This window comes from Homo sapiens, chromosome 2 (genome assembly GCF_000001405.40).
Source record: "Homo sapiens chromosome 2, GRCh38.p14 Primary Assembly".
In the NCBI taxonomy this organism is placed as follows: Eukaryota; Metazoa; Chordata; class Mammalia; order Primates; family Hominidae; genus Homo; species Homo sapiens.
In genome coordinates this window covers 189,687,915-189,700,435 of record NC_000002.12, presented here as the reverse complement: position 1 = coordinate 189,700,435, position 12,521 = coordinate 189,687,915, and the positions used below count along the sequence as shown (strand labels likewise).

The 12,521-nt window shown below is 35.9% G+C and overlaps 1 protein-coding gene across 24 annotated transcripts in view; it reads right to left on the bottom strand.

The window, feature by feature from the left end:
- The window catches only part of ANKAR (ankyrin and armadillo repeat containing), an 88,390-nt gene that overhangs the window by 62,624 nt on the left and 13,245 nt on the right, over positions 1-12,521 (bottom strand). For 22 of the 24 annotated variants that reach the window (XR_922865.3, XR_001738640.2, XM_011510676.3 and 19 more), the window contains exons 3-7: positions 10,472-10,909; positions 8,018-8,181; positions 7,259-7,362; positions 5,275-5,455; positions 4,067-4,286 (exon numbers count right to left, since the gene is read on the bottom strand). Coding sequence is in view for 22 of the 24 variants with exons in the window: in XM_011510676.3 (XP_011508978.1) it covers positions 4,067-4,286; positions 5,275-5,455; positions 7,259-7,362; positions 8,018-8,181; positions 10,472-10,909 (1,107 nt within the window). In the remaining 2 variants the exon portion in view is untranslated. Of the gene's footprint in view, positions 1-4,066; positions 4,287-5,274; positions 5,456-7,258; positions 7,363-8,017; positions 8,182-10,471; positions 10,910-12,521 lie in introns of those variants that run through there. The other 2 variants (XM_047443455.1, XM_047443456.1) reach the window with 2 other exon arrangements.

Below are 12,521 nucleotides of genomic sequence, written 5' to 3'. Positions count from 1 at the left end.
TATGCCTACTATGTACACACAGAAATTAAAAATTATTTTAAAAAGAAAACAATCCTAAAAGAAGCCAGAGGAAAACACATTACTAATAGAGAAGCAAAAATAAGAATTATACCCAAGTTCTCCTCAGAAACTATGCAAGCAGGAAGTGTGCGGAGGAAAATAAAGTGTTGAGATAATGGAACCACTAATCTAGAATTCTGTAACCTGTAAGATTATCCTTCAAAAGTGAATGAGGAATAAAGACTTTCTCAAACAAAAATTGAGGGAGTTTGCCACCAGTAGACCTGCCCTGCAAGGCATGTTAAAAGAAGTTGTCCAAAGAGAAGAAAAATGATATAGGTTAGAAACTTACATAACATAAAGGAAGGACGAGCATCAGAGAATAAAAAAAAAAAAATGAAGGTCAAGTAAAATGTTTCTTTGTCTTAATTGAGCTAACAGAGAACAGTTTGTTCAAAATAACATTATCAGGCCCGGTGCAGTGGCTCACGCCTGTAATCTCAGCACTTTGGGAGGCCGAGGTGGGTGGATCACTTGAGGTTAGGAGTTCGAGACCAGCCTGGCCAACATGGTGAAACCCTGTCTCTACTAAAAATACAAAACATATACGGTGTAGTGGTGCACATCTGTAATCCCAGCTACATGGGAGGCTGAGGTGGGAGAATCGCTTGAACCCAGGGGCCGGGAGGCGGAAGTTGCAGTGAGCCAAAATCTCACCACTGCACTCCAGCCTCGGCAGCAGAGCAAGATTCCATCTCAAAATAAGTAAATAAATAATAACATTATCAACAAAGGGTTTGAATATATAGATACTTATATGTGCTTATGCATAAGTGAAATGAATGACATTTATGAAATGAATGACATATATATGCTTATGCACAAGTGAAATGAGTAAATGAATGATAGGTGGGAAGACTTAGGAATATGTTGTTATTATAAGGTACTTACACTACAGGTGAAGTGGCTTAGTGTTATCTGAAAGTAGACTTGGAATAATTGTAAATGAATGTGGTAAACTCTAGGGCAATCACTAATAAAAATGTAAAAAGAAATATAATGAATATGCTAAGATAGGAGAAAAAACCCTAAAAAGGAGAAGGAAGCTGATAAGCTGGCTGAGGAGCATTAATCATGAGGGGTCCTTGTGGCAAACTAAGCACTTGTCCTCTATACTGTCCCTCTCCTTGCCTCTAATCTGAAAAACTTTGGTTTTCTGTGTAGAATACCTTAGAGCCTTAATTGAAGACATGTTCTGTTTGAAGAGTATTTAAGGTTTCCAATAAAATGTACACCCCTCAAGAAAAATTTCCTGAGCACCTATGAAGGCCAAGCGTTTTTCTGGGTGTTAGGAAACTGTGGCTAACAAAACAGACCAAATCCTTGTCCTTTATGGAGCTTTATATTCAAGTGAGGGAGACTAACTAACTAAATAAATTTATATAAGGTAGCCATAAGTGATACTTAGAAAAGAAAAAGAGAGAGCAATAATGTAGGAGGCACACTATTGTTACTCAACTGGAAATTTCTACAGGGCGGATGGGACAGGTAAGCTTCCTTTTTTCCCGCTCCAGTTCCACTCACCTCCTTTACCACCCTGGCTCTCCTGCACCTGCAGAAAAAGCAACCTGTGTCCTCTGGCTCCTTGTCAGTATCTGCCAATGGATAGCTCTGGCAGGAGATTGGAGGAGGAAGAATGAGGTCGGGCTCCCTCTCTGAGGTCATCTCAGGTTTGCTGTGCTCCTCCTCTAACGGAAGATGGCCAATTTGAGTAACTATCCCCTCCCCCTTGACAATTCAGTTCGTTGTACGTAATTTCTTTAAAACAAAAGCCTTTCTGAATTCTCTTATACAGAGTATGAAGGTATAGCCTCTTAAATATAGACAAAGAAAGTATAACCTCTTAACATTTTGTTTTTCTCCATATCCAACATTGAGGTTAAGTCTACTACCTCAGTCAAAAACGACTCATTCCTCAGACCTCACAGATTGTTACTGCCACTAGATGGCAGCCTATCTAATTTATATTATAATAACTTTTTTTTTTTTAAGTTGTAGAAACCACTTGTGGGCCTGAATTTATAAAAAATAAAGGTGACAGCAAATTCCACAGGAAAAAAAGAGAAAACTCCCCAAACTGAAGAGGAATACCAATAAATAACTATGAGTAGAAAGTAATTTATGCTTCAAAATGAATACAAAACATCATTATGCAACATTCTGATGCAACAGTATTTTAGAGATTATATACTATAAGAAAAGTTCTAATATATGCAATAGCCTTTTTAAATGCACCAAATACTTTATTTATGTCTTACCATTTCTTTCCTTTTTTACCTCTACTTTGGATGACTCTGTTTTAAAAGGGAATGCACATAGAAGTATGATCATTAATATACAGCAGTTTCCTAAGTTGTTCAAGAAGACTCATATGAATAAGAACAAAATGACTATGTAGATGTATCTGGCAAGATTACATCGAACAGTGTTGAGAATAACTTTTGGTCAAGTCATCCAGGCATGTCATATGCAACCTGACAACGCATTAAAAGCAGACCTGGAAACTCTGCCCCCCAAATGGCTGCTTAAAACTCACAGGTGGGACAATTTTGTGTTGGTTAAGCAATAATATTGGAAGTAGAGTACTATGTTTTCCACACTTCAAAATCTACCTAATTCTCAGCAAATGGAAACTCAAGCAGTCAGAGGGCGCATGAGAAACTTTTAATTTATCAAAGACTTTTTCCACACTAAAAAAGGCTTAAAGTAATACATCTTTAAATAGTGTTACCTATTGCATTTAAATGTGATTGAATTGTGTCTTATTTTAATTAGGTTCATTATGTATTATGTATTGAATATTTTCAGTAACAGAAGAATCTGAATATCAAAACATTTTAATCATACTGATAGAGTACAGAATTTATGGATATTCAATACGGTTAAAGCAAAACATTTTGTTTTGGCGTCTGTAAAAATTTAACATAGCTTATTAAGATAGCTGACTTCATTAAATATAAAATCACCACTTCTTATTGCCAATATTGTTGCATTGGCCATTCCTGACAATTTACATATATATGTACATATATATGTGTAACCTCAAACTCCTGGGCTCAAGCAATCTTCCTGCTTCAGCCTCTCAGAGTAGCTAGGACTACAGGCGTGTACCACCAAGCCTGGCTAAGTTTTTTTTTTTTTTAATTTTATGGGCAGGGGGTCTCGTTATGCTGCCCGGGCTCATCTTGAACTCCTAGTCTAAAGTGATCCTCCAGCCTCAGCCTCCCAAAGTGTTGGCAAGACAGTAGTGAGCCACTACACCTGCCCCTGACAATTTATCTATATTTTCCTTTCCAGTTATGGAGGGCCACCAATTTCATTTTCAACTCTGTTTTTATTCTAGCTAAATTTATTTCAATGATTATAAAATATCCATGCATATTTAATAATCACAAAAATAGCTTTTAAAGTTTAAATGAGGTTAACCTTAAAGGGGCTATTAATGCTAAACATTATTATGATAAAGAAATTTTTTGTTATTAAATGTAATTTAAATATATGTAATATAAAGAAACTATTCCCTGTTTGAGGATCCTGGAATAAAGAATGATTGTTCTACTGGGACCTGACAGTCATATCTATTGCTGTTCTCTGAATTTCTATAGTATATCAGTGTATATTAATTTTGCCAGTGCTTATCAAATGATATCCTGCCTTCACCCATCCATGCATTAACTCAACAAATATTTTCTGAGCAACCATTAAGCCACACTTTCATCTGGACATTAGTATACCACGGCAAATAAAGTAGGCTAAATCTTTGCCCTCTTATAGAGCTTATACTCAAATGAAGGAGACACAATGAGCAAATATAAAACCATATAAGCTAGCTATAAGTGATACTTAGAAAACTAAAAGAAGCCTTTCTTAGATAAATGAAACAAAAACCTCAACTTTGCTCTAGTTAATACCAAATTTTAACCTGCTCTAAAATCAACGTGCATTCCTAATGCTGAGTAAGGGTAAATAAAATAACAACATTTTAGGTTAAAAAACTTTATGGTACCTTGGCTGAACGTAACAAAGCGCCTCTGGTTGACCTTGAAGTTAGCATTGCACAGTTGACATATAATAGAAACTCTGTTGTGCAGGGCAGCATGATGAAAAATAGTATAACCTGCTTCATCTGAAACATTGATTGTTGAGCTTGAGGTTTTACGGCTAAATGTGTGGAAAACTGCAGACAACCCTCTTTCAACAGCGGACTTCATACCAAATGGAATACTCTAAAATTAAGAAGGCCAGAATCAGTTTATCAAAATGCACCTAAAGTTTGGTTTAAGGAAAAAAATACATGAAGTGTATTAACAGAATCACATGAATGCTGTTAAAATTAAGTAGAATTTTCACAAGATCCATGCATGGAAAGTTTCTTACTGGATAATGATTAAAGTAGTTAGAGCTATAAGCAAATATTAAGAATTTAAAAAATATTTTGGGGAATTTTTTATTATTAATTTTTTTCTAAAATATTTTAAAAGCAAATGGAGATCATTGGGTTCCTTCTCTGATTTAAGAAAAACCTAATTCAGAAGTCTAGAAATTTGAAATATATAGCTGTAGAAATACAGTTTGTCATCCAAAGGTAAAAATGTCACCCTCTTTAGACATTCTGACTAATATTTAAAAATTCAACTAACAAATTTTTGAGGTTTTAATTTGTGGACGTGAAAACAAATAAATGGAAAGTAAATACCAGTCTAACCTTTGAAGCTGGTGAGCTTCTTTGCTCAGTTCCAGAAGCTGTACTTCAAGGCTTGTTGAAACAGATGTGGAGATTTGATGATGCTAGGTCTGCTCTTTAGGTTTTAGTTCCCAGGACTGAAGCCTGGCTCTGCCATTTACTATATGATTTGTGAAAGATCCCTCTCTACACCTCAAATTTCTCATTTGTATAACAGGAATGATAATAATAGAACTAGTCGTACCTTAAAAGAGTTCATTGATTTATAATATTGCCTAACATACAAAATAAGCAATCAATACGTATAAGCCGTTATTGAGATTAATCACAATCCAGTGCATTAACAGGTACTCTGCCAGAAATTTATAATCCAGAATTGTATAGCCTTTCAGCTACTAAAATGTGGCATTTTATTTCATGTTGAAGACTTTAACCTATTATTATCCCTAGGATAAACATCTGTTTGAGACACATACTTATCAATAATACATAACTTCATATACTAAATTATGTGGTAGTCACTGAAATACCTTGCATTTCATAGCTCTTTTGAAACCAAGCTTTTTCTTAAATTGTTCATGTAATTGAGCATCTGTCAGTGGAAGTCTTTTCAGTCTCAGATTGTTCACTATTTCATTTATGGCTCCCCACCACTGTGTCTTATATAGTTGCTGATAGAAAGTTTCTAGTTCAAAATAGATCACATAGTAGCTATAAAAAATAAAGAAAAAAAAGATGTTTCTCTAACTTTGAAGTGATTTGCTACTTCTCTTTCTATGCTGGCAAAACTTTTATTTTTCTGTAACAATTAAATACAAAATGGTAGTTTAAATTGTAGTCAACTGTAAGTATATTAATAAGATAGTTATCAACTGTTATTAATCAAGTCTTTATATAAAAATACCTTCTTCATATTGTATTGACTCTGTCCTTTCCATGTCAGTGATCTGGGGCAATGTCTAAAAGCTCCTGGAAGGCCTAACTCTGGCTGAAGTTCTATGTCATCTAACTGTCTGCTTACCTACCTCTTATTCTTTTAAGCTAATTATGTCTATATCTGGCTCCTCGAGAGTTTACCTTGAATGTAATATGGAATGATGCTTTGGGCAATGGCTCCTTGGCTTTTACTCACTGCAGCAGTGGACTAGAGAAACCCCCCTCCTACCAGGTCCCTGGAACATAGGTGGGGCTTGAAACAGCCCTGATCCCTATCATTCTGGAATGGAAAATTGATAAAATTTTGAGTAACTCTGTTCCCTGGGTTTGCTTATCATCACAGGTGAGGGAAAACGGCGACCTTCCTCCCCTTCCCCCCATGAGGTACCCTTCCCATGCCCGGATTTCAGCGGTGAATACTTCAGCTGCTGACCTACCTCTGTCAGTGGGACACCTCTTAATATTACCTGGGTTTCTCCTCCAAATGCAACTATTTATTGCTGTAAATACAGTATTCTTTTTTCTTGAGACAAGGTCTTACTCTGTTGCCAAGGCTGGAGTGCAGTGGCGCAATCACGGGTCACTTCAGCCTCGACCTCTCAGGCTCAAGTGATCCTCCCACCTCAGCCTCCTGGGTAGGTGTGACTACAGGCATGTGCCACCTAGCCTGGCTAGCTTTTAAATTTTTTGTAGAGATAGGGTCTTATGGACAGGCATGGTGGCTCATGCCCGTAATCCCAGCACTTTGGGAGGCTGACGTGGGCAGATCACTTGAGGTCAGGAGTTCGAGACCAGCCTGACCAACATGGCAAAACCTCTTCTCTACTAAAAATACAAAAATTAGCCAGGCATGGTGGCGCATGCCTGTAATCCTAGCTACTCAGGAGGCTGAGGCAGGGGAATCACTTGAACCTAGGAGGTGTAGGTTGCAGTGAGCCAAGATTGCACCACTGCACTCCAGCCTGGGTGACAGAGCAAGACTCTGTCTCATAAACAAACAAACAAAAACAAAGATAGGGTCTTACTCTGGTGCCCAGTCTGGTCTCGAACTCCTAGGCTCAAGCAATCCTCCCACCTCAGTTACTATTCTCCAAAGTTCCAGACTTGGTCCTATCCTCCCAACTGCTTGCATGCCTTAAAAGCAAACAAACGAACCAACAAGCAAAACTTCCTTATTTGTTTTTAAATCTTTGCCTCTAATTAAAATGTTTCCTCTGAGCTCTACTTCCCATATTTCCAAATTTCAGTGTCCAATATTTAAAAATCCAAGAACCACAACACATAAAAGACAAATAGGCTGGGATTTGATCCCCATCTCTACCCCTATTTAACCACTCTGTTAATTATAAGAACTAATTACAAGCTCTAAGGATTGTTACACAGACTATATCAAATACATGAAGTAATAACTATAACATTTAATATTTTGTTGAGTCCATAAGTCATTCATGGTGGTTATTATTGTGGAATCGCCATTGTAAAGGTTTACATTAACCTTTGCATTTTGTCATTTTCTTTGTTCTCTACTAACGTGCAAAAAATTGTAGTTAATGTCAGTAATTAGTGAAAGCTCCGTACCTTTTTCCATGAAATTCCATGACTGGTATTGAGTAATATTCTTTATATCCTGAATCTTCTATAAATGTATTAGCAGCACAATCTCGTATTTTTTCTAAATTTTTCTAAAATATGAGTTATGTTACTAAAGACATATCCTTAGACACATCTAAACAATTATAAGAATTCTTTGTATGAAAGAGTATACATGTAAATGACAAATTTTAAATTTACTATTCCAGAAGACCCGGATAGCAGCTGAATATATCTAATCCTTACTTTGAGAATGAGGAAAAAATACAAAAGGAAAGACACATAGTATACAGAAGGTAGAAAAGCAATAACAATTGAAATGTAGAATTTTTATACTAAATTCCAGGTGAAGAATTACTGTTCCAAAATTTTAAAGGATCTCTGTTCTAATCCTGATTCTTTGAGGAAAATGGAAGAATGTGTACTGAGTGTCCAGAGATTTCTACTGCACTCTTTGGTTACCTGTTCTGGGACAAATATAGTCCATTAGAAGTCTTTAAATTCTGTGAGGGTGATAGATGTACCTAGCTTATTTATAATTTTATCTCAGATATCCAACACAGTACCTTACATATATCTGCACTTAATTCATTGATGTTAAAATAATGTATGAAAAAATTATTGAGTTGTGAGAATAATCATTTGGAGAGCTGTCGAGTGCCTGTACCAACAGAGGCTCTTTTTGGTTGGAGAATAGGATAAAAGAGTTGTGAAATGATAAATTGTCTAAGGAATGATCATTTAAACCTGAAAATCTTCCAAGGCATTCTCAATTGAAGGGGTGCTGATATCAAATTCAATTCCTCCATGAACATGAAAATATTGATTCTCTTTGTAGTGAAAATTCTGGCATTTAAAATCTCTTCCATAAATAAATGGAGGCAATTCTCGCTCTGTCTTGACCTTGTCATCTCCAAAAATGAAAACAAATTTTTATTTAAAAAGTGAACAGCACATAAAGTCATATTTTAAGAGATCTAGCTTCTCATTCATGTAAACAAAGTGAGAAAATTCCAGATGAAATTAAAATCTTGGCAATTATAGTGCATAAAATTATTTATGCTGTTAATGTATATAAATAGTTTAACATTAAAATATATTTTTGAGCATGCACAGTGCCTCATGCCTATAATCCCAGCATTTTGAGAGGCTGAGGGGGGCGGATCGCTTGAGCCTAGAAGTTCAAGACCAGTCTGGGCAACATGGTGAAACCCCGTCTCTACTAAAAACACAAAAACTAGCTGGATGTGGTGGCACATGCATGTAATCCCAGTTACTTGGGAGGCTGAGGTGAGAGTATCGCTTGAGCCCAGGAGGTAAAACCTGCAGTGAGCTGAGATCATGCCACTCCACTCCGGCTGGGTGACAGAGTGACACCCTGTCTCAAATACATATATTACAGTGCCAATACTGCCCTCAGTTAATTACTGTTTATATATTATATATATATATATCTCAAATATATACATATATATGTATGTATATATACAATATATTTATATTTTGAGCACTTTCTGTAGTTTTATTGTACAGACATTTCAAAAGTATGCTCAAAACATTGTTCCAGTTCTTGATTTATTGTAAGTGAGCTCAAGATTAGTATCTTACTCCCAATTATAAGAAAGGACCAGAAACTCTGTGCCTAAGAGAATCTTTGTTTAATATACAAAAACTTATCTCAGCTAGTTTAGGTAAAAGGAGACATTATAAAGAAGCAGATGAGTATATCTCACATATAAAAATAACCATCCCATATTTCTGGAAAGTAATGAAACTACACAGATAACTTATTTTTAAAAATAATTTTCTCTCCCGGGCGCGGCGGCTCATGCCTGTAATCCCAGCACTCTGGGAGGCCGAGGCGGGTGGATCACCTGAGGTCAGGAGTCCGAGACCAGCTTGGCCAACATAGTGAAACCTTGTCTCTACTAAAAACAGAAAAATTAGCTGGGCATGGTGGCAGGTGGCTGTAATCCCAGCTACTTGGGAGGCTGAGACAGGAGAATCGCTTGAACCCGGGAGGTGGAGGTTGCAGTGAGTCGAGATCGTGCCACTGCACTCCAGCCTGTGTGACAGAGCAAGACTCTGCCTCAAAAAAAATTTCTTTTCTCAAATTCCAGCAAAGACTAGGTTTTTTCAATATTTTGACTGGTTAGTAGAATATGGTTTAATCAACATAAGGGACATAATGTATTTTGAGAAATATAAAAGGTAAAGAAAAGTACAAATAATAATATACACTATACACCCTGATCTCAACACCTAGAATTAACTATTAACGTTAGTCATATTTGCTTCCCATAGTTTAAGTAATAAGATATTGCAGATATAGTTAACGTTCTCTTTAAGCAAGTCCCTCCTACTTCTATACATGCTCCCCACCACCCAAGAGCCATGCCCTGTCATAATTCCATTTCTAATAGTTCACAGATACTGAATTCTCATGATACAAACTTTCACTAAAACACAGCACCTGAATTCTCATGATACAAACTTTCACTAAAGGATTTGCAAAATTTCTGCTGAAAATTTGCCATCTGAATAGAAAGCCCATTATAATAAGCCTACATGCTTGGAAAGCAATGAAAATGTATAAATTGTGTGCTAATCAGTGTTGAATGAAGAGTTTATACTGAAGTCCCATCAAATTCCATTAATCATGGCCTGTTTCAGTTCTCTATTCTCTTACATTGCTCTATTTGTTTATTAAAGTGCCAATACTGCCCTCATTTAATTACTGTAGTTTTAATATGTTTCCATCTATTTTTCAGAAATGAAAGACCATTATTAACCCCTTGCTGCTCTATATTAATTTTAGAGTAAGTGTGTATACTTCAATGAAAAATATCATCAGGATTTTGAATAGAAGTACACTGAATTTATAGAGTAATTTGAATGAGATATGATACATTCACAGTGTTTTCCCATCATGGATATGGCATATTTCCCTATTCATACAGAACTTATTTTAACTTACTTTAAATCTTTCAGTAGCCCTTATAATTGGTATAAATATATACAAAGTACTATATACATACACTGAGTCTTTTTAATTACATTAGAGACATTAAATTGTTTGTTTTCTCTAACAGGTTATAGCTAGGTTACTGCCTGCACCCATATACTAGAAACAAAATTGCATTTAAACATATATTTAATATATACCTATATTTTATATTTGATTTTTGGTGATACTCTTACCTGAAAAAGGCTGAAGCAGACTACTTAAATATGGAACTTTCATTTTCTTCTTTAAACTCAGTAGAAATGGAATCAGAAAACATATTAACTTTAGGTATCCTATCCCTCTTCTGATATCTTTTTTCTTCTCAAAGTGTTTTTGAATAATCTTTTTTTGAAGATATAATCTTTGCTGTAGTCTCTGGTAGGTACAGATATCAAGATAATCCTGATTATATTTTATAGCATTAGTAAGCCAATAGCCTGTTTCAAATATAAAGACATTTTCATACTGTTGAATTTGTGTGGTACTGAATGTTAACTTTAGCATAATATTTTCAGCATATTTCATAAATACAGCTGTTTCTTCAGGGCTGTTGGGATCATATGTTGGATCTTCATTCACGTCTTCATCATAGATTTCATTAAAGTCTGGATCCTTTGTAATATCAGTCAAACCTTCATGATAAAAAAGGAAAATTTTAGATAGTGAAAATTTCATATTTGGCTTCTGGATAAATACAGAAGATTGAACACAGGATTTTATCATGAAATCCTACTATCACGACAGTAAAGGAAAAATTAGATGCTGTAAACCAAATATATAATTCTAAGCACTCCCTACAACTGACTGAACAGACCCGTTTTGGGCAAGGGGACCCCAAAGAAACCTTAAAAACTAAGTTCTTGGCCATGATGGGATGGGAGGTCAGACATACCTCATTATACCCCTTTCCTTTTGTGGTTTAGACACAATAACTGACCAGCATTAATGTTAAAATACAGATCATAAGACTGACAGAACAGACTCTTTGTGGCAATAAGATACCAAACTATAAAGAAAACCTAGGGCCATGCCAGGCAATGGTGAAGTCACAAACCCCTCTACTTAAAGAATAAACTGTGTTCTAACTGCCACAAGGTTTTTCTTTTTTCTCTAACAGTTAAACAAACACTGTCCTCAAGATAAGCAATTTTAAAAGAATTACGGCCCGTTCACCAACAGATGCTGAATAACTGATCTTCCTGTCCCCTACGCCTAACTAGAGCTTTGACTGGACAAGAGACTGATTTCAGTAACTTTCTCCTCATAAGACTACTGACCACGATGTGGTTCTGGCCTGTTTACAGAGGCTGTACACGTGAATGCCTTCAAGTCCCTGCTTCACTTTCTGACGTATAATAAGGGCCTAATTGTAATGCATTTATATGTTAAGTCTCCACCCCAAAGTGAACATGGATCATATGTAACGTGCATGTTTGTTCAATACGCATGTTAGAACCCACTTCATGAATGTTCGTAGCTCTTCCTATAACTTGTTACATATCTATACCTGAATATGTATACTTGGCCAAACAGTTCAGCTTAAATTCCTGTCTTGCTCCTCTCTTCCTCGAAATGCCTGTCAGAATGGCCAGCTTGAAGACTGTAACCCTTTATAAGAAATATACAGATTCATTGCAATCCATATCAAAATAGCAGTCACTGTTCTTCATAGAAATAGAAAAAATAATCCTAAATATATATATGAAACCACGAAAGATCCAGAATAGCCAGTCATCCTGAGCAAAAAGAACAAAACTGGAGGAATTACATTACCTGACTTCAAAGTATATTGCAGAGTGATAGTCACCCAAACTGCATCGTACTGGCATAAAAACAGACGCCTAGACCAAAGGAGGTCAGAGAACTCAGAAACAAATCCATACTTATACAATGAACTCATTTTCAACAAAGGTGCCAAGAACATATGCTGGGGAAAGAACAGTCTCTTCAATAAATGGCACTGGGAAAACTGGATATCCATGTATAGAAGAATAAAACTAGACCCCTATCTCTCACCATATACAAACATCAAATCAAAATGGATTAAATACTTAAATCTAAGACCTCAAACTACGAAACTACTAAAAAAAAATTGGGTAAACTTTCCAGGATATCAGTCTGGACAAAGATTTCTTGAGTAATACCTCACAAGCACATTTTGCAACCCAAGCAAAAATGGACAAATGGGATCACATCAACTTAAAAAGCTTCTACATAGCAAAGGAAACAATCAACAAAGTGAAG